This window comes from Homo sapiens, chromosome 6 (assembly GCF_000001405.40).
Source record: "Homo sapiens chromosome 6, GRCh38.p14 Primary Assembly".
NCBI lineage: Eukaryota > Metazoa > Chordata > Mammalia > Primates > Hominidae > Homo > Homo sapiens.
Window position 1 is genome coordinate 56,166,417 of NC_000006.12, and position 22,756 is coordinate 56,189,172.

The window sequence follows — 22,756 nt, forward strand, 5'->3', positions numbered from 1 at the left end:
TTAGGCCGGCGAATCACCTGCGGTCAGGAGTTCGAGACCAGCCTGGCCAACATGGTGAAACCCTGTCTCTACTAAAAATACAAACATTAGCTGGGTGTGGTGGCGGGCATCTGTAATCCCAGCTACTCTGGAGGCTGAGGCAGGAGAATTTCTTGAACCCAGACGCGGAGGTTGCAGTGACCCGAGATTGCGCCACTGCACTCCAGCCTGGGCGACAAGAGTGAGACTCCAAATCAAAACAAAACAAAACACAACAAGAAAACATTCCCTTGTGGTCTTTCATTCATACTTGCACAATGACACATAACAATCTCATTTCAATTATAACCTCAAAATATGTTTTGCTTCATGTAACTTCACTTCCACTAACATTAAAAAATAAAATTAAGTCTACATATTAAATTAATACTCAGATAGTATCTGCTTTTTATTTATTGCTTTGAAAGTACTAAAGCAACATCTGGGAAAAAAACAATCCCTCCTACTTACAAATCCAGGAATCTCACATGCTGTCTCCCGGTTGTTCTGTTCTGGGTCACAGTAGATTCGCAACTTTTGGACATCAAACTAAGAACATAAACCCAGTAGAATTAAAGTTGAGGCACAAGCTAATTGTTTTATAAGAGCAACTCAGATACATAGAAACATCCACTATGGTTAGTAATTGTGTAAGGTTTACATCACAGCATTTAGCTAAAACAATGAAAATACAAAATTTTAATACTTTACACTGTAAAGATGTGATGCAACATAACTACTAAAGAAAAATTCCCTAGCACCAAGAGCAAATCGATTTTCTTCCAGAACTCAGTGAGGCTTTTTTAGTACTCCTGTATTAAAAGCTAATCTAAAGAGCATTTTGTCGGACACTTAAAAGTTTTCCCAGGTTTTCTGTGTTTATCTTAAATCTCCACAACATTCCTGATGGTATAGGGTGGACTCAAGAAGCCATCTTTGGTCTTCGCTATTTAGTTGCTGGCATGGAGTGTTGTGTGATTAGTAGGCCCAGCACCTGTTAATGTTTAAATATTTACTACAATTTGACATGTAGCATTAATTCATAGAGACCACATGTGTAAACACGTATATGAAAATGACAGACTCTTCCTTTAATAGAAACAGTGCAGGAGGGACATACCTTTTCAAATAAAGGGTTTTTCTAGAAATGGCATTTACAGACACATTTCTCCATCCAAATACAGATACTCCAGTTTAAGGAGGTATCAAAAAGTCAAAACAAAACTTCTGTAGGTATAATTTGAACATACCACAATTGCTTTATTTTTAAGAAACAGTTTTGTTTGTGAAGAACCCTGACATGAATTAATCTAATTTTATCCTTGCAGCTGCAAAGACATTTTTATAGCCCCACTTACAGATGAAACTATATTTTCTTTTCCAAATTTATTACTTAAACTATGTTTCTCTTGGGAAACATGAAATTAATGTTTCCTAGAAATGTAGAATTCTATCCTGAACCCAGGGGAACATTTTTCTAAATATTCTTATGAAATAGATTAAGTCCAATTCTGCATTTTAATACATATACATATGCATAATTTCACTAATGAACTGACCACATTTTGGTGAACAACTTAAGGGAATTCATAAGTATGTTAAATATGATTAAATGTGGTGAAAACTATTACAAAGGACAGCAAAAGTTTCATTCTATATAATTCAAAGAGTAAATCATTATTTATCTACCTGAACAGTTTCTTCTTTTCCAGAATATTTTCCAATTTGGGTTTGCCCATTGATCAAGATCCCTAAAACTGGATGTAAGGGCTTGTTTTCAATTTGTTGGTCATCAATATACAAAGTCACATCTTGTTCTGTTACTAAGAGACGAATTTGGTGCCAGCCTTCATCAAACAACGTCTACAAAAAGAAAGTGTGGAAGATTCATAAATAAAGCCCCTAACAATATTTTATTTTCTTTGTTCTTACTCCCTTGTTCCTAACCATTGCTGAGAAACTTCATCCCACACAGACTGACTGTATTATACATTAATTCACCCTGATCCAAGGTGGACCTCATATGCTATCCACCAATTCTTTCATTAATCTTTATCTGAGTTCCTATTACATATTTCAAAGAAACTGTCAAACAACTTACTAAAGCAACTACCTCAAAATCATAAATGAGTTTAATAATCTCTGAATCCAAATGGCTTCCCTCCTTGCCTCATCTCATTTATTTCATTGCAACTTTGGGCCCCATAACTAATCAATCTTCCTTGATAATCTCACTCAACTTCTGGAATTCAAACAATCTTGATCATTTTCATTTCTTCCTCCCTAGTTGCTCATTCTCTCTCTCTGTCTCTGAGTGTTCTTCTCCCTCAACCTACCCTTTAATGAGGGCATTACTCATAGGTCTATTCTGGACATTTTTCACCCCCTCTTTGACTCATCCATTCCTCCAGGCCAATTATCACTGGTATATAATAACTACCATGTCTACACTAACAGCCTGTACCTCTCCTATGTGTGGGTCCTATAATTCTAATACTAGGTAGAATAATTTTTCAGGATGTTTCACAATTAGCCCAACAACGTATGCAACAAAATAAACTTGAACTACCCCCCAGAGTTTTCTTCTTGACCCCATTTCCCTACGTAATAGCATCCTCTAAACATAAGTTTCTTTCTTTGAGTTGCAGTAACTAACCAGATGCAGAGTTCTACCCAATATATTTCTTCAACTTGACTCAAATTCATTTCTTCATTTGCATTGTCACTACCATAATTTAGGCTCATGGAACTCTTGTTTTACTTCAATAATTTTCAAATCTATCTAGATCTCTCACCCTTTCATTTCCAAGCCATCCTTCAGATCACCACTAGGATTAATCTCTCTCCCTACAGTTCTGTTAGGGGAGATGTTCCATCTTATTAATTTCTGTATCCCCAGGACCTGGCCTAATTTAAGGATAAAGTTGAAAGTATTATTTATGGACAGAAGAAGAAAAAGAAGTAGAGAAGATTGCCTTGACCATGACACACTATGGTCAAGACCTTTTGATGAAACATTCACTGAATAAAGTCCAAACCACATTATATGGCTTTCCAGGCCCCTCATAAATTGGGCTTACACCTAGATAGCTTTTTCTTCCATGCATCTTATACTGTAAACACAGGAGAGTCACTTTGCATTCTCTAAATAAAAACCCTGCATTTTATTACACACCTGATGACTCAATACTGAATCATTTATTTAATGCGCCCTTATATTCATCTCCATCAAAATGCTATACATCCTTCAAGGTCCAGTTCAAAAATTATTTCATTTATGCAGATTTCCTCTTATTTTATGTTAGAACACATTTTCCCATCCACACTCCACTAACACTTTGTACTTCTATTTCATACCAGTTGCCTTGAATATCCTATTGTAAATACGCTCTTTGAAGGTAAGAAACATGCCTTATTCATTTGTCATTTCTTACAGAATCTGGCACACTGGCTTTAATGAAGACAGCAAATAACAATTTTTTAAATGTAATATAATTACTAAATGAAGAAATTGCATACTTTATATATATTACCATATATATTTCCTAAACTGTGTAATATGGCTTTAGACTATCATAATAATGAGCAAAACTTAATTACTTTTATTATTGCATCTGGATTCTGAAAACATGATTTTGAAAATAAACTTTTTCAAGTTTGTATATTCTATTAAATATGTATTCCATTAGGGTAAATAAAATGTCCTCCTAAATTAAGGTAAATTTCATACCTATTATGTATCTGGTATTTAATATTCTAACAGATATGTCTTCATGTAAATATCCTGTAGAACATGGCAGTGTAAAACAGACCAATATGGACTTTGACGTCAACTAGACCAAAATTTAATTCCTGATGTCATCACTTATTAGCTGTTCTATTTTGAGGGAGAACTTAACATCCTTGAATATTAGTTTGTCTGCAAAATGGGAGCAATGGTTTCTTTATTGGATGGCTATTATAATTAAATGTGCCTGGTACCTAGTAGTAGGCACTCAAAATATGTCAGTTCCCCCTCAGCATTTGTCCCCATATTGATCAAGAAACAATTTTCCTTTCTTTGTTAGTTTTCTTCAACACAGAAACATTAAAATTTAAAGTAAAAATATTTCCAATCATGTTAAAATTATAGCCCTCTTTTCCCCAACACACATAAACCCAATAGTGCTTCCCCATGAATATCATAATCATGGTATTATCCCAGGCATCTTTACCTTAACTTGAGGGTTAGCAAAGGTAACCACTTGTGAGCCATTAATTACGCTGGTTGTTGTAAATAATAAGATTTTGTCCACACCATTTAAGGTAACTGCTATTTGTGGCCTTCCATCAATAGTTAATATTCTCCATAAATCCCAAATTTTCTTGACTTTAAATCTTTGAGTAGACACAAATACATATGATGGAGGAAGACCTTCTGGGAAAACATTGCTAGAAAAAGAAGAGCAAGTGTAAGCTTAAAGAATTCTTGACATGTCCACAGACATATCCCCCCAAAAAAGTTGTGTCAACATATAATGCATACCTTGTGAGTTCTGATAAATCAACTTTTGATGTTACTTCATATCCTTTTATCTTTTTTGGTGAAAGCTGTATTCTTTTCTTAACCTTTTTATTTACATCTAAACCTAAAAGAATATCAAATCCCCTTTCATCACGAGCTGCCACTGGAATTCGTGTTGGACAGACAGATTCTATAAAGCAAAAGCAATAAAAGTTGGTTAATCATGGACTATTCAAACAATAAAAGAAAAATCAAGGGAGAAATACTAGACAATATAGTATTCTATCATTAGAATTATAAAATCTACATATGTATACAAATGTATAGTATATAAATGTATATGAATACATTTTCTGAGAAAATGTAGAAGTATTTTACACATTTAAGAGTGAGATCTTAATATGCTTTTTTCTCTAAAAAATAAGGGATAAAAGTAAAACAAAAATATAAATATTTGTTAATGTATTGTCTTTAGCAAAAAATTGAGACAATAGCAATATGAGACAATATAACACCTATGGAAAAGAAAAACAATGGAACAGGATTTATCATTCTCATCCAGGATTTCCTATTAACTAGTCATACAACTTTGGATAATGCTTTTAATTTATTTAATTCAAAAATGAACACTAAAATTCTTTTCTTGCATTCTTAGCATTTAAGGGGTAAAAAGTATTTTCTGTTCTTGATTTTCTTTCCAGTTCAAGCAGCTTATATTTCTATAGCTCAAATATCATTAGTCTGTCTCTCTGGAAAAAACTTAACCTGGGTCCCATCTATTCATGAAAGTTCTTCAGACGGACATATTATCTCATCTATAATTATATATTAATCATACTTATAAAGAATATTTTCTTAAGAATAATCATTAGCATTACATAGTCAGCTATATAGGTAATAAGTATGATATACTTTAGCTGAAGTATACAATGACTGAAAAAATTTACTAAAGATGATTAATAGCAGACTTTAACAAGCAGAGGGAAAAGAATCAGCAAACTCAATAATTGGTCATTTGAAATTATCCAGTTAGAGAAACAAAAAGAAAAAGGAAGAGAAAGAGTGAAGAAAGCCTAAGAGATTTAAGCAACACCATCAAGCATACCAATATATGCATTTTGCGAGTTCCAGAAAAAAAAAAAAGAAGAGGGTGAAAAGGGGACAAAAAGCTTATTTAAAGAGATGAGGCCAACAACTTCCCAAATCTGGGAAAGGATATGGATACTCGAATTCAAGAAGCCTAATATATGCTAAGTTAAACCCAAAGAAATCCACACTGAGACACATTGTAATCTAATCGTCAAAAGTTAAAGGCAAAGATCACATTTTGAAAGCAGCAAGAAAAAAGAGACTTGTTATGTACAAGGGAACCTTGATAAGACTATCAGCAGATTTCTCAATAGCACCATTGCAGGCCAGGAGTGGGATGACATATTCAAAGTGCTGAAAGGAAAGAAAAAACCTGCCAAACAAGAATGCTATGTCTGGCAGAACTGTTCTTCAAAAATGAAGGAGAAATAAAGACTTTTCTAGATAAACACAAGCTGAGAAAGTTCATCACCATCAGACCTGCCTTATAAGAAATTCTCAAGGAGTCCTTCAAGATCAAACAGAAGTATACTAATCAGCAACATAAAAGCATAAGATAGTATAAATTTTTCAGATAAAAGTAAATATATAGACAGACACACAATATTATAATACTGTAACAGTGTGCATAAATGACTTTTAATTCTGGTGTAAAAGTTAAAAGACAAAAGCATTTTTAAAAACTGTAACTTTAAAAATATGTTAACAGATATAAAATATAAAAAGATGCAATTTGTGGCATCAGTAACAAAGGACAGGTAGCAAAAATATAGAATATTTATATGTAATTTAATTTCATACCAACTTAAAATAAGTTGTTATAATTACATGATGTTTCATGTAACCCCTATGATAACCTCAAAGAAAATACCTACGGAAGATAAATAAAATGATAAAGGACATCACTACAAAAAAAGCAATAAAACACAAAGGAAGACAGTAAAAGAAAAAAAGAGGGACAAAAAGCTACAGGAAAGACAGAAAATAATTACCAAAATGGCAACAATAATTTTTCCCTATCAGTAATTACCTTAAATGTAAGTGAGTATACTCCTTAATCAAAGTACATAGAGAGACTGAATGGTTTAGAGCTACAGATCCAGCTATATACTATCTATGAAAGACTCTAGCCTGGGCAACATGGCAAAACCCCATCTCTACAAAAACAAAAACAAAAGCAAACAAACAAAAAACAACAAAATTAGCCATGCATGGTGGCATGTGCCTGTAGTCTCAGCTACTCAGGAGGCTGAGGTGGGAGGATTGACTGAGTCTGGGAGGTTGAAGCTGCAGTGAGCTATGATCATGCCACTGCACTCCAGCCTGCGCAACAGAATGAGACAAAGGAAAGGGAAAGGAGAAGGGGAAGGGGAAGGAAGGGAAAGAAAGGGAAGGGAAGGGGGGAAAAGGGAAAAGGGAAAGGAAAAGAAAAGAGAAATGAAAAGGACTCACTTTAAATTTAAGGACACACATAGGCTGTAAGTGAAAAAATGAAAAAAGATATTCCATGCAAATGGTAGCCAAAAGACATCAGAGATGTCTATACTTATATCACACAGTACAAAACTATAACAAGAGACAAAGAAAGATATCCTACTATGATAAAAGGGTCAACTCACCAGGAAGATATAATAATTATGATTATATATGCAGCCAACATCATGATAACAAAAATACGAGGCAGACATATACAGAACTGAAGGGAGAAATAGAAAGAAACACAATAATAGTAGAGGATTTCAATAATGATTAGAACATTCAAACAGAAGATCAATAAGGAAATAGAAGACTTGAACAATACTATAGACCAAATGAACCTAGCAGATGCATACAGAATATTCCACCAAACAGCAGCAGAATACACATTCCCTTCAATTGCACATGAAACATTCTCCAGGACAGACCACATGTTAAATCACAAAACATGTCTTATTTAAGAAGGCTGAAATCATACCAGTATATTTTCCAACCACAATGGAATAAAACTAAAAATTAACAACAGGAGGAAAATTGAAAAATTCACAAATATGTAAAAATTAAATAGCACACTTTTGAATAGCCATCAGGTCAAAGAAGAAATCAGAGACAAAGTTAGAAAATACGTGATGACAAAATCACAACATCCAAAATTTATGAGATGCAGGAAAACAGTACTAAGAGAGAAGTTTATAGCAATAAATGCCTACATTAAAAAAGAAAAAGGATATCAAATAATCAAATAAACAACTTTATACCTCAAGGACCTACAGAAAAAAAAGACAAACTAAGCCCGAAGTTAGCAGGAGGAAAAAAATAATTTAGATTTAAGCAGTAATAAATAAAATAGAAAATGGAAAGAAGTCAACAAAGCTAAGAGTTGCTTTTTTGGAAAAATCAACAAAATTGACAAACCTTTAACTAAATTAAGTAAAAACAGAGAAGACTCAAAACAGGAAGTGAAAGAAGAGATATTACAATTGATGCCACAGAAATAAAAAGGATTTTAAGTGACCACTATGAACGACTATATATCAACAAATTGGTAACCTAGAAGAAATGAATAAATTCCTAGAACATATAACCTACCAAAACTGAAACATGAATAAATAGAATATATGAACATACCTATAACTAGAGATTAAAGGAAATTAAATCAGTAATCAAAACACCCCAACAATAAAAGCCTAGTACCAGGTGGCTTCAGTGGTGAATTCTACCAGACATTTAAAGAAGAATTAATATCTTTCTTAAGATCTTTCAAAAAATTGAAGAGGAGTAAACACTTCTAAACTATTTTTATAAGGCCAGCATTAACCTGATACCAAAGCCAGAAAAAGATACCATAATAAAATAAAACTACAAGCCAATATCCCTGATGAATATAGATGTAAATATCCCCAATAAAACACTAACAAACTGAATTTAACAGCACATCGAAAACATCATACACCATGACCAAATGGGAATTATCCACAGGATGAAAGAGTTTGACATATAAAATCAATAAATGTGTCATTGACAGAATGAAGGAAAAGATAACATGATCATCTCAATGGAGGCAGAAAAATAATTGACAAAAATCAGCACTATTTTATGATAAAAGCACTCAACAAGTAAGGAATAGAAGGAAACTACTTTAACATAATAAAGACCATATTTGAAAAGTTCACAGCTAACATCACACTCAATGATAAAATGTTAAAAGCTTTTCCTCTAAGATGAGGAACAAGACAAAGATACCTAATTTCACCACTTCTATTCAACATTGTACTAGCCAGAGGAATTAGGCAAGAAAAGAAATAAAAGGCATTCAAATCACAAAAGAAATAAAATTATCTCTGTTCACAGATAGCATGATCATAAACATAGAAAACCCTAATGATTATACATAAAAGACTCCATGCCAAAAAAAATGGTTAGAAGAAACCAATTAAGCAAATTTGGAGAATACAAATTCAACATATAAAAATCAGTTGTGTTTCTATTCAGTAACAACAATTTAAAAAGAAAATTAAGAAAATAATCTCATTTATAAAACATAAAAATAAAATACTTAGAAATAAACTTAACCAAAGAATCAAAAACTTGTACACTGAAAACTACAAAACATTGATAAAAGAAACTGAAGAAGGAATAAATGGAAATATATCTTGTGTTCATGGATTGGTAGACAATATTATTTAAAAAGTCCATACTGCCTAACTTGATCTACAGATTCAATGCAATCCCTATAAAAATCCCAATAACGTTTTTTATAGAAGTAGAAAAAGCATTCCTAAAATTTATATGAAACCTCAAAAGACCTCAAACAGTCAAAACAATCTTGGGAAACAAAAACTAAGCTGGAGGCCTCACACTTCCTGATTTCAAAATATATTGCAAAGCTAGAGTAATCAAAACAGTATGGTAAAGGCATAAAAACAAACATATAGACAAATGGAACAGAATAGAGAGCCCAGAAAACACTCTTGCATGCATCAATGAAATTATCTTTGACAAGGGTGGTAAGACTGCCCGACGGGGAAAGGATCTCTTCAATCAATAGTGCTGGGAAAACCGGATATCCACATGCAAAAGAATAACTTTGGACCCTTATTTTACACCATACACAAAAAACAACTCAAAATAAAGACTTAAACATAAGATCTGAAACTATAAAATTTCTAAAAGAAAACTAGGAAAAGCTTCATAACATCAGCCTCGTAATGATTTCTTGGATTTATTCCAAAATCACAGGCAACAAAAAAAGCAAAAATAGACAACTGGGATTACAGCAAACTAAAAAGCTTCTGTGCAGCAAAGGAGAAAAAAAACTCTGTAAAAAGACAATCTATGAAGTGGGATAAAATATTTGCAAACCATATATCTGATAAGAGGTTAACATTCAAAATAAATAATAAACTCTAACTCAGCAACAAAAAAAAAACTGATTAAGGAATTTTATTGAGGACTTAAATAAACATTTCTCCAAAAATGACACACAAATGGCCACAGGTATATGAAAAATGTCCAACATCACTAATCATCAGAGAAATGCAAATCAATACTACAATGAAATGTTACCTCATACATGTTAGGCTGGCCATTACCAAAAAAAAGAAAGAAAGAAAGAGGAAGGAAAAGAGGGAGGGGGGGAAGGAGGAAGAAAGGAAGGAAGGAAGAGAAGGAGGGAGGGAAGGAAGGAGGGAGGTTTCAGTCAAGCAAGATGAAAAAGTTCCAAAGATATGCTGTACAACATTGTGCTTATGATTCACAATACTGTACACTTAAAGATTTGTTAGAAGACTAGGTTTCATGTTAATGTGTTTTATATGAGGGGGAAAGAGAAAAATGAAGAAGAAGAATGAAGGGAGAGGAAAGGGGAGGAAAGAGGAGGAAGGGGGAGGAAAGGGAGGAAAGGGGAGGAAGGGGGAGGAAGGGGGAGGAGGAAGGAGGAGGAGGGAGGAGGAAGGAATGAGGGAGGCAGGAGCAGGGAGGAAGAGGGAGGAGGAAGGAGGAGGGAGAAGGAGGAGGAAGAAGAAGAGGAGGAGGAGGAAGTAGTAGTAGAAGTAGTAGTAGAAAAAGAAGTAGTAGTAGAAGAGGAAGTGGTAGTAGTAGAAGTAGTAGTAGTAGTAGTACTAGCAGTAGTAGCTGCAGCAGCAGCACAAGTCTTTTACACAGATAAAGGAATCATCACCTATCAGAGAAAGGAGAGTATTAGAGACAACTCTTCCAGAGAAATAATAGGTCCATAAAGATGGAATAAACTGTGGTAAATATTATTTAACTCAATAATATTTTGTTGTGATTCAACTACAGCAGAGTATAAAAATAAACAGTATTAGGAAATGGTCATCCTACATGTTAACACTTCAACATAGAAGTTAAGTATGTGTCAAAGAAAAAGCATGTGAATTTATCAAATGATTCAAATACAGATTACATGGTTTGTGGCTGTTGTAATATAGCAATGTTTTAGTTTAATGCATTAATCATACTCTAATACAGTATAAAATGTCAAGTGCAGACTGGGCGCGGTGGCTCACGCCTGTAATCCCAGCACTTTGGGAGGCTGAGGCGGGCGGATCATGAGGTCAGGAGATAGAGATTCATCCTGGCTAACACGGTGAAACCCGTTCTCTACTAAAAAATAGAAAAAATTAGCCGGGCGTGGTGGGCGCCTGTAGTCCCAGCTACTCGGGAGGCTGAGGCAGGAGAATGGCATGAACCCGGGAGGCGGAGCTTGAAGTGAGCCGAGATTGCACCACTGCACTCCAGCCTGGGTGACAGAGCGAGACTCTGCCTCAAAAAAAAAAAAAAAAAAAAAAGTCGAGTGCAGAAAACATCCATATAAATTCCATAAGTGCATTTTCAAAAACATTTTAAAAGATGGCTATTGTGCAACAGATATGTGAACTGATTAGACACATAAATTATTTATATCTTTTCGAGTGTGGATGAAAATATATTTGGCAAGATTTCAATTTTGATTGTGTTTATAGATGATACATTTTAACTAAAAGAGTGTTTAACTCTTCTAAGCACATCTACTCTTTCATGTGTAGTTAGAATCATTAAAATAGAATGCATTTACCAAAATACAGATCCACAGAAAAAGTCTCTGAAGCAAATATTGAACAAACATTTTATCAGTTACATTTATATTTAAAGATAAAAATGAATGATAAGTGAAATTTCTCCAGGAAAAGTCTGTTTTAAGAATGAAATATACCTGGCTTCAAAATCAAAGAATTCTAACTAATATGACCACATATTAAAAATTTAAATCCCATTGGCCTGTTCAGTATGATAAATGTCAACAAAATCTAACTACTAGAGATTCATAAAAAGAAGAACTATGGTGGTGATTTGTACTTATTACAGTACCTTTATTTAAAGTTTCATGGAAGAAGACGTTTAATTTTCTATATTCTCTTAAATATGAAAATTTAAAAAGTTTTTCTCTACCATATCCCACAAGCAAATATGAAGAAAACAGAGGAATTAATGATATAATTTGTTTCCTAACTCATAAACACACAGGATTTTTTTGTCAAATGTGAAGCCACCCACTTTGGGAGTTTTTGTAGACAAACTAATATTCACTTTATATGAATATTACTTTAATATGGTACACTAAATGCCTATAATATTAAAAATAAGAGATACAAAAAATTACTCTCCCCTAAAATAATCTGAATATTAGCATATCTATGCCCTAATAGGATTAATATTTACCAAAACTGGGACCTTCCCATACCATGCAGTTATCATGAACATGAAGTTAGATTTTATGAAATGATATAAACATAATTAATAAACTGTTATTTTCAAATGTTCTGTGAAAGGGAAGTTAAGCTTTTTAAAGTGCAATTTTAACGTTTTCCCCCAACTTTAAAAATGTCAGTAATTTGAAGCTTTTTTCTGAAGAAATAATGAAATTCTAGCTCAGAATTATGTACAAGAATATTCATTTTTGTCATTTATATTAGCAAAACTTAGAAATAAACTAAATGTACAAAAACAGGAAAAATTTAAAATAAATTACAGTAGGAAATTGTCTGCTATCCTATGAATAGAGTATAAAAATTGTATACACAAGAGTATATCATACAAAAATAAAGTATGAAATTATATATGCAATAGTATCTTGATTTAGGCAGAAGGATAAACTAAAACACACTGGGGAAAAAAGGAAAAAAACTAGAATGTAAAGTACAGAAAAACTCATTAACGGGGTGATATGATTATGTGTGATTTATATATATTTTTATTCTTTGTGCCTTTTTCTACAATTTCTACAATAGACATGTTATAATTGAAAGGAAAAATAATAAATGTTACAAAATATTGTATTTTCCATAGATTTGTAACTTATTTCTAAAAACCAAAATTTATCCTAAATACATACAACACAAAAAATTTATGCTCACAGTATAAATATAACATTTATAACATTATAAATGTTGTAACATTATAATTGACATTAAATATAACAATTTACACCAGTGTTAATGAAGAAATTATATCAAAATGTAAAAAGCACAATTATTAATTGCTTCCAAATTATATTAAGGCATTTTAAGGCTTACCTTCACAAAGTTTCTGCTTCATCACTTCCCTTATTTTGGATATTGCAATATAGTCTTCCACATAAAACACATAAGTAGACGAAGGCTTGTTGGCAATAGCTCTAAGTTCGGCATCTTCTGTTTCTGAACCAACACCAATAGCAAATAATGTTATCTTACTATCTCTTGCTGCTTGAGCTGCATCCTTGACGTCATCTTGGGATTTGCCATCCGTAAGTACCACTGCTATCTTAGTCAGAAATCGTGAGGACTTGGCAAAAAGGTAATCGAGCGCAAACTGGATGGCCTTCCCTGTCTTTGTGTTTCCTCCTAAGTAGAGTATGGATTCCACTGCTGCCGTCAAATGTTCTCCTGAATCATAGCTTCCGAGAGGAATCTCCAGCACAGGGTAGTCACTATATTGAACCACTCCAACTTGAATAAACTTCGGCCCTATGTCAAAGTTTTTTGTGATATTGACAAGCCACTTTTTCACTATTTCAAAGTTTTCTGGGCCAACACTATAAGAGCCATCTAAGATGAAAACTAAATCTGTCGGAGCAGTACGACAACCTAAGTGCAAAAGAAAACCATCATAGCACATCTTTTATATAAAAAGCAAAAAGGGAGAGATTTTAAATATATGAGTTTCAGCTATACACTAATATCATTGCTTATTTTAAATTGTCTGTGAAATATGTTTAGCTTAATGCTAACGTGAAATATTACAAAAATATAAGCCAGTGAATAGGGAGAAAAAAATTAAAAACAAATTTTCTACCAACTCCAGGACTTAGCTAACCAATAAAATTTCATCTTTGATATATTAATAGTTGATAAAAGTTAAATGAACCAAGATCACCCAATGAATCAACTCTTGCATTATATCCAAGATGAGTTTCTAAAGGTCTGATGTCTCATATTCAGTGAATAATGTCAGAGCATTAGCTTGTACTAACAATCTATGGTTAAAGGTATAAAGCTATTCCTTGCTTAGTAGAGATAGAGATTCTTGTTTCAAGATACCAGGAAACACATCTGGTCAACACATCCTAAGGTCCTTTTGGGGAAAAAAAAATACCATCTTTGGTGCAAGTTACATTTGAACAAGTTATAAGCAGTTGTGGAAAGAAAAAGACTTCCCCTGTTACAAATGCTAACATGCTAAATGTAAAACAAAGCATGAATATAAAATTATCTCATTATCATACAGGCTATAAATAATAACTATTATTGCTGCTTTAAGAACAGAAGTTAGAGAAGAAGACAAATATAGCTGTTCTTTTCTGCGCATTCTGTTAGCCATTCCAAACTATTGGAATTGCCCCAACGAACCAGTTTATCTTTTAGTCTGTGTCAGTCTCCCAACTCTGGGCCTTTGCAGTTGCTCTTCCCTTTTATTAGAATGTCTTCCTCTTCACCTGACTAATACTCTTGTTTCAGATCCCTGATTGCCTGTCGGCTTTATCATAAAACCTTTCCTGACCTTCCACAGTTAGGTTGCCATCCCCTCCTAAATTTATAGCAGTCAAGAAGTTCCAAAAATAAAAAGAATTGCCAAAATATGGATTTGTCTCAAAAATGTGTCTGTGATTATGACATTATTCCTAAAGTGTTCTACTGCAGGTGGTAGTATCCTCAGAAGGTGTAAGGGACACAATTCCAACAACCTCTGCCATGGCGGCCACTGCCAGAGGTCAAAGTAGGGACAGCAGAAATGGAGTTCTGTCCAGAGGCAAACTTCCTAACCCAAGGGAATGCAATTTTTCTGTTATTTTTGGAAGCTTGGAAGCTGGATGGACTAGGATTAAAGGGTTATGCTTTTATTGTTTTTTGTTTTTTGTTTTTTTTTTGCAGGGAGACGAAAGGATAGAAAAGCTTGTTGGCAGAGCTTTTCAATGTTGGCCCTTCCTAAATACTGAGACTCATTGTTGTCTGAAGCTGTTAGTGTTTGTGTGCCACCTGATTCAGTGGTTTTCACTCTAAGAGGGTTATTCTTGGCCCTTCCTACCCTTCTCCCTGTCACAGGGCCACAGAGCATGTATTTCATAACTGTAAAGTTAGTCAACAGCATGGGCATACAAGCAAATAATGCCATTTATAAGCCCTAGACATAATATCCATCCTGAGAACCTCTTCCTTAGAGAGATGAATGACATCATAGAAAAGGAATGGGACTGAAGAGCAAAAACATGGTTCAAATACTAGTTACTGCCCTCACAAGCTGTATGATGCTAGGTAAGCCCCTTAACTTATTAAAATCCCGTTTTCCACCCAAGAAAAAAACAAAGGAAAGGGCATCCACATTATACAGTGATTGCATGAATTAAACTATAGAAGTGTTAAGCAAGCTTTAAATATTATTGTATTAATAAATTTTAAGCCAAGTTGAATCAAATTGTCAAACCATCTCATTTAACTTTTATAGAGACCTTAGTTAATTTATAGTAGGATGCTTATGAGTTTTAAAATGTGAACATAAGCAAACTTTTTTTTAAAAAAAAGTGTGCTATCTCTAAATGATAGTCTGGGTAACAGAACTATAATTAATATAGCTCTTTATCTCTATAGGCAAGCTTTCCTACAAGCAATAATAACATTCACTGAGATGTACTGTGCTAAGCCTTTGACATGCATTATCTCATTCAGTCCTGATAACCAATCTAGAAGGCTTTCTTTATCTTCCTATCATGCAGTTCAAAAGTGGCTGAACATGGACTCAATACCAGACTGTTTGTTCCAAAGCTTGATGTGTTAATTGAATAAACTATTGCCATAGAGTCATCTCAAAATTATCTCTGAGGGAAGCTTTTCTTCTCAGTTAATGAGTAACATAGCAATTCATTTATTTTAGGGAGTTACAGAATCAAAGACAGTAAGAATGAGATCCTTAAAACCATTACTTGAACTCCCCTAGTTTAATTTCCAGATTAATTTGTTGATAACAAAAAAGGACAATGCTGATAGTTCTTACTTGATCTTACTTCCCCATCTTCAGCTAACACAGAATTCTGAAGAAGCAGCACCAAAACCATGCAGAGAAATGTAATATAGTGAGCCATGTTTCTGTTTTCGTTCTAATATTTTGGTTTTAGGATTCCTAGGGGGAAAAAAAAGGCAAGTTAAATATATTAATTAAAGTCAACATCTAGCCATTATACATTTACATTTTGAAACAAGAGCCAATTGAAGTACAGCTAATTTTGTGACTATTAGAATTAACTTAAATCTGTTTAAAACAGCCAAATGTTAAATATATTAATGCAGGAGGACAATGAATAGTGGCTAAAGACCATGATAAACCTTAATTCTTAATTGTCTTCAGAAAAGCATACACATTTTCTAAAATTTGAGCTTTTTGCAAAATATTTACTCAAATTTATCCTTTGGGCGTAGCCTGTAGAACCTTATCTCATTCTTTTTACTATCTGAATATTAGCAAACATTTTTCTTTTAAACGTGGGTTTGTATTTAAGGGACACTCAAAGAGTATTTAGTGAAAATATGTCTAAGATACAGCTGATGGAATTTAATTTTTAAAATAAGATGTAATTGTAAACATTAAGACCTGTTTTATTTAATTCATAAAGACTCAGTTACATAGTTTTCATACACCATCTAAAATAAGTCCAAGAACTTCATTTCTGGTTAGAATGTAGAAAGTTGCAAGAGATTGTCATTCACAACAATGAGTACATACCAGATAAAGTACAAATTCATATGCTTTTTAAGCCCAGCAGAAATGAAATAATTTAAAGAAACCTAAAAGAACCAAATTCCAGAAGTTATTAACCCTTTGTCATATAGAAATGATTCACAACTGCTTTAATCTCTGGCAGAAAGGGAATACTGATGAGAAGGAATTTGCCACAGCATATAAAAAATCACTCAAAGCTGGTGTAACAGATTGGAAATCTGAGGAGTCTCTGCCACGCAACAAGCATTCCTTCATTCAGCAGTTCCTTCTGGTGAGCCTTAACTAAATATACGGAGTAGATAAGTAGTCCATAGAAAGTTGGCAACAGTATAGAACAGCCTAGAGAGAGTCTGTCCCTCTTCCTCTCCAGGTACCCAGAGACTTCCTCAAATATAAAACAGTGGCCAAGACTTGAAAAGAAGCAAGAAATTTTTATTCCTGATCAGGAGAAAAACACCATAAGCAGATCCAAAGTTTATCTAAATATCAGAAGTAGCAAAAAGTGTTTGTAAAATGGCAGTGATAAATACATTAAAGGATCTAGTGAATAAGATGGAAAACACGTACAAAGATGTGGGAAATTTCAGAAGGCAGATGAAAACTATACAAAAAGATACAAAGAAAAATGCTTGCAGTTAAACAAACATCAGAAAATGGTTTATGCAACGGGTTTACCTGCATCCACTGGAGGAAAAGATAAGTAAACTTGAGGATAAGTCAATAGAAATTATCAAAAAATGAAACCCCAAGGCATAAAAACATGATAAAAGGAATAGAGCATCTAGAACTTATGGAACAATATCAAGTGATCTTGATTTAGCATATAAGTAAATTTTTCTGGTGAAAAGGAGAGAATGAAGAAATATTTGAAAAGACATGGCCAAAAATTTTCCGAATTAATGAAAGCCACAATTCTCGGATCAAAGAACTTCAGCAAACCCCAAGCGAGACACAAAGTAAATCATGCCTACATACATCATATTCAATCAACTGAAAATCAAAATAAAATATAAAATTCCTAAAAGTGGCCAGAGGAAAAGTGATACATTACCTACAGAGGGACAGCAGTAAGAATTTTAGACAGAAATTTTCTGGTAATAAACTGAGCATTCAATCAGAAAGAGATAAAAATCCTAAATGTGTAGACATCTAATATTAAAGCTTCTAAATATATGAAACAAAAAATGAAAAAAAATAAGCAGAGACACATTAAAAATAATGTGAAGTTTTAATATCCAGTCCTCAGTATTATTTAATTAGAACAGAAAAAATTAGTAGTGGAACAGAAGGTTGGGACAACACTATTATTAACCAGTTTCACCTAGTTAATATTTACAAAACACTCCAACTAACAACAGAAGAAGACACATTGTTTTGTAATGCATATGAAACAGTCACCAAAAAGACAATATGCTGGAGAGAAAACAAGTCTCAGATTTCAAAAAATTGAAACCATACAGATTATGTTCCTTGACCAAAGGGCATTTAATTAGAAAATATTGGCGATGGCATCTGGATATGAAGTTTTGCGGAAATGCTTTTTATTAAAAATGTAACTTATTAATAGATAATTGGACCAGTTTCAATAAATAGTATTTTTCTAGGACTTTGGCTATTTCACCTGTCCACTTATCATCTTTCTATTATCTGTAGGATCTGTAGTTGTCCTATAGATTTTCAGAAGTGAAAGTCCTAAAATACTTTGAAATTAAGCAACATACTTCTAAATAATCCATGAGTTTTAAAAAGTCAAAGGAAAAGTTTTTAAATATTTCAAACTGAATAATTTTTTAAATCAAATATTTTGTGATACAGCTAAAGCAGCACTTACAGAGAAATTTTAGCTTTAAAAGCATATATTAAAAAAAAGAAACCAATATCTAAGCTTCCACCTTAAGAAGCTAGAAAAACTACAATAAAAAAGTAGAAAAAAAGTAGAAAAGTAGAAAAGGTATAAAAAACTATGAAATATAAATTTGAAAGACAATTAAAAAATAAATAATTAAAAAGTTAATTCTTTGGACAAATAAATATATTGATATGCCTTAGTAATTATAACCAAGAAACAACAGAGAAAACATAAATAATTGCCTAAGTCAGTATTCAAATAGAAAGCACCACTACAGATTGTATAAACATTAAAAGGGTAAGTGGACAGGCGAAATGAACAGTCTTTTTTTTTTTTTTTTTTTTGAGACGGAGTCTCGCTCTGTCGCCCAGGCCGGACTGCGGACTGCAGTGGCGCAATCTCAGCTCACTGCAAGCTCCGCTTCCCGGGTTCACGCCATTCTCCTGCCTCAGCCTCCCGAGTAGCTGGGACTACAGGCGCCCGCCACTACGCCCGGCTAATTTTTTGTATTTTTAGTAGAGACGGGGTTTCACCTTGTTAGCCAGGATGGTCTCGATCTCCTGACCTCATGATCCACCCGCCTCGGCCTCCCAAAGTGCTGGGATTACAGGCGTGAGCCACCGCGCCCGGCCTGAACAAAGTCTTTGAAAAACACTATTTATTGAAATTGGTCCAATTATTTGTTAAAGAAGTTAAATTATTAATCAAAAACATTCACACAAAGAAAACTCCTGGTCCAGATAGCTTCACCAGTAATTTCTTCCAACAATTTCTACAAAACAGTCAAGGGAAAAAAATAAAATAAAACTATTTGTTTTGGTGGAATTAAATGAAAATAAAGGAGAAGTGAACTCCCCCCAATTTTTATTATGAGGCCAACATAACCCTAATTAAAAAGAAAACCTAGACAAAGATATTACAAAGTAAGAAAATTACAGTCCATTGATTTAGCATACAAGTAAATTTTCCATTATTCTTTATGAACAAGGATATAAAAATCTAAAACAAAATACTAGCTAATTAAATCTAGCAATATAATTTAAAATATCATGACCATGTGGGATTTATTAGAGAGATGCAAGATTGGTTTAACACTCAAAATTCAACTTATATAATGTACTTTGGTAAGAGACTAGAAAAAAAATCACATGAACATCTCAATTTATTGGTAGAGCATCAAAAGTTCCTAACAAAATTTAATACTCATTTATGATAAAACTTTCAGCAAACTAAGAGTAGGACTTAACCTATGAATGTGAATGCTGTCTATAAAAAAATCGACATACAACATCACATTGAGTTGTGAAATACTAAATTCTTTCCTTCTTAAATCAGTAAGTAGCTAAGGATACATTCTCATACCATTTCTATTCAAAAATGTACAAGGATAGTTCTAGCTACAGCCATGGGCACAAATGAGAAATAAAACATGTAAAGATTATAAAGGAAAAAATAAAACCATCATTTTTTATGGAAAACGTGATAATCTACATAGAAAGTGGAATCTACAAAAACAATAGTAGAACAAAGTGAATTTAGCAAGGTCACAAGACACAAGATTAATGGTTTCTTTATTGGGAAAAAAATACCATTTTCAATAGTATCAAAAGTATTATAAATGTGGAAATGAAGCTAATGAAATATGGAAAGACCCCCGTACTGAAACATTGCAAAATTAAAGAAACCAAATAAATGGAGAGATCCATATTCAGAATTAAAAGACTCAATATTATTAACATGTCCACCCTCCACATATGTTCTATAGATTCAACAAAATCCCAATTTTTTAAATTAACAAATATTCTAAAACAGATATAAAATGCAAATGATTTTGAATTGGAACAGTCTTGAAAAAGAACTCTCTTAATAACAAAGTTGGAGAACTGATATTAACTGATACTGACTTATGTCAGTCTGCTTTCTGTTGTTATAACTCAATACCTGAGATGGAGTAATTTATAAAGAAAATACATTTATTTTTTATAGTTCTGAAGGCTGGAACGTCCAAAGTCTAAGGGCGAAATCTGGTGAGGACCTTACAGCTGGTGGGGGTTTTCTGCAGAGTCTCAATGTGGTGCAGGGTACCACATGGTGAGGGGGCTCAGGAGAGAGAACCTACCTGGCTTTTTATAACAGAACTACTTTCCTGATAACTAACCCACTCCCATGGTAACCCACTAATAAACTAACCCATGAAAAGGATGTATCTAACGGTGAGAACAGAACCCTCATGACCCAATCACCTCTTAAAGGACCCACCTCCCAGTACCTTTACACTGGAGATTAAGTTTCAACATGAGTTTCAGAGGGGGCAAACATCCAAACCATAGCAACTTACTATAAGCTGCAGAAATCAAGAAAGCATGGTACTATATTGACATAAAGATAGGCATAGAACAGAACACAATAGAGTTTCGGTAACAGACCCACACTTACATGGTCGATTGATTTTCAACAAAAATGTCAAAGTAGTTGGATAGAAAAGGAAAGTCTTTTCAACAAACATTGCTGAATCAACTGAATAAACACATGGAATAAAATGAACCTGGACTCCTACCTCATTTCACATAAGAAAATTAAATGGAACATAGATCTAGATGTAAAAACTAAAACTATAAGTCTTCAAAGAAAAAACATAAGAGAGTATCTTCACAACTTTGGATTAAGATGAATATTTCTCAGGACACAGAAACCACTAGCAGTTTTAAAATAAGTACATGAGATTTCATCAAAATTAAACATTTCCATTCCTTAAAAGACACCATTTAAGAATGCAAGCCAATGTTTGCATTAAATATTTCTGACAAATGACTCATATCAGAAAACATATAGATAATAAAAAGAAAAACAACACAATTTTTTTAAATGAGTAAAAGGTCTTGAACAGACATATTACAAAAGAAGATACAGAAATGGCCAATAAGCACATAATATAGTACTCATCATCACTAGCCATCAGGGAAATGCACAGTAAAACCACAGTAAGGTATGATTTCACACCTACAAAAATAGCTAAAATTAAAAGACATAATATCCAATGTTTACATGTATATGTGAAGAAATTGGAATTCATTCATTGTTGGTGAGATTGAAAACAGATGTAATCACTTTAGAGAACTGTTAGGTAAAGTTTCTTATAAGGTTAAACTATGGCCAATGATTTTTCTGCTAGATATGTAACCTAGAGAAATGAAATTGTGTGTCCACAGCAAAAGACTTTAGCAATGTTTACAGTAGTTTTATTCATAATAATTCCAAACTAAAAATAACCCAAATGCTATCAACAGGACAATCAATATACAAGTTGTGTGATATATTCATACAATGAAATACTACTCAGCAGCTCTGGGCAGGGAATCTCTGAAAATAAGGCAGCAGCGCCAGTCAGGAACTTATAGATAAAACTCCCATCTCCCTGGACAGAGCACCTGGGGGAAGGGCAGCTGTGGGCACAGCTTCAGCAGACTTAAATTTCCCTGCCTGACGGCTCTGAAGAGATCAGTGGACATGCCAGCACAGCGTTCGAGCTCTGCTAAGGGTCGGACTGCCTCCTCACGTGGGTCCCTGACGCCCGTTTATCCTGGGTCCCCAGTAGGGACCGACAGACACCTCATAGAGAAGAGCTCTGGCTGGCATCTGGCAGGTGCCCCTCTGGGACAAAGCTTCCCTGGAAAGGGGAAAGAACAGGCAGCAATCTTTGCTGTTCTGCAGACTCCACTGGTGATACCCAGGCAAACAGGATGTGGAATGGACCTCCAGCAAACTCCAGTGGACCTGCTGCAGACAGTTTCCTGACTGTCAGAATGAAAACTAACAAACAGAAAAGAATAGTACGTCCACTCAAGGACCCCATCTGAAGGTCACCAACATCAAAGACCAAAGGCAGATAAATCAACAAAGATGGGGAGAAACCAGTGCAAAAATGCTGAAAATTCCAAAAACCAGAACACCTCTTCTCCTCCAAAGGATCACAACTCTTCTCCAGCAAGGGAACAAAACTGCGCAGAGAATGAATTTGACGAATTGACAGAAGTAGGCTTCAGAAGGTGGGTAATAACAAACTCCTTCAA

At 33.7% G+C, this 22,756-nt stretch overlaps 1 protein-coding gene across 12 annotated transcripts in view; it reads right to left on the reverse strand.

Moving 5' to 3' along the window:
• The window catches only part of COL21A1 (collagen type XXI alpha 1 chain), a 337,539-nt gene that overhangs the window by 109,827 nt on the left and 204,956 nt on the right, over positions 1–22,756 (reverse strand). For 11 of the 12 annotated variants that reach the window (NR_134849.2, NR_134850.2, NR_134851.2 and 8 more), the window contains 6 exons: positions 16,115–16,240; positions 13,162–13,713; positions 4,544–4,712; positions 4,233–4,449; positions 1,708–1,881; positions 490–567 (listed from right to left, as the gene is read on the reverse strand). Coding sequence is in view for 9 of the 12 variants with exons in the window: in NM_001318752.2 (NP_001305681.1) it covers positions 490–567; positions 1,708–1,881; positions 4,233–4,449; positions 4,544–4,712; positions 13,162–13,713; positions 16,115–16,202 (1,278 nt within the window). In the remaining 3 variants the exon portion in view is untranslated. Of the gene's footprint in view, positions 1–489; positions 568–1,707; positions 1,882–4,232; positions 4,450–4,543; positions 4,713–13,161; positions 13,714–16,114; positions 16,241–20,805; positions 20,948–22,756 lie in introns of those variants that run through there. The other variant, XM_011514926.2, reaches the window with a different exon arrangement.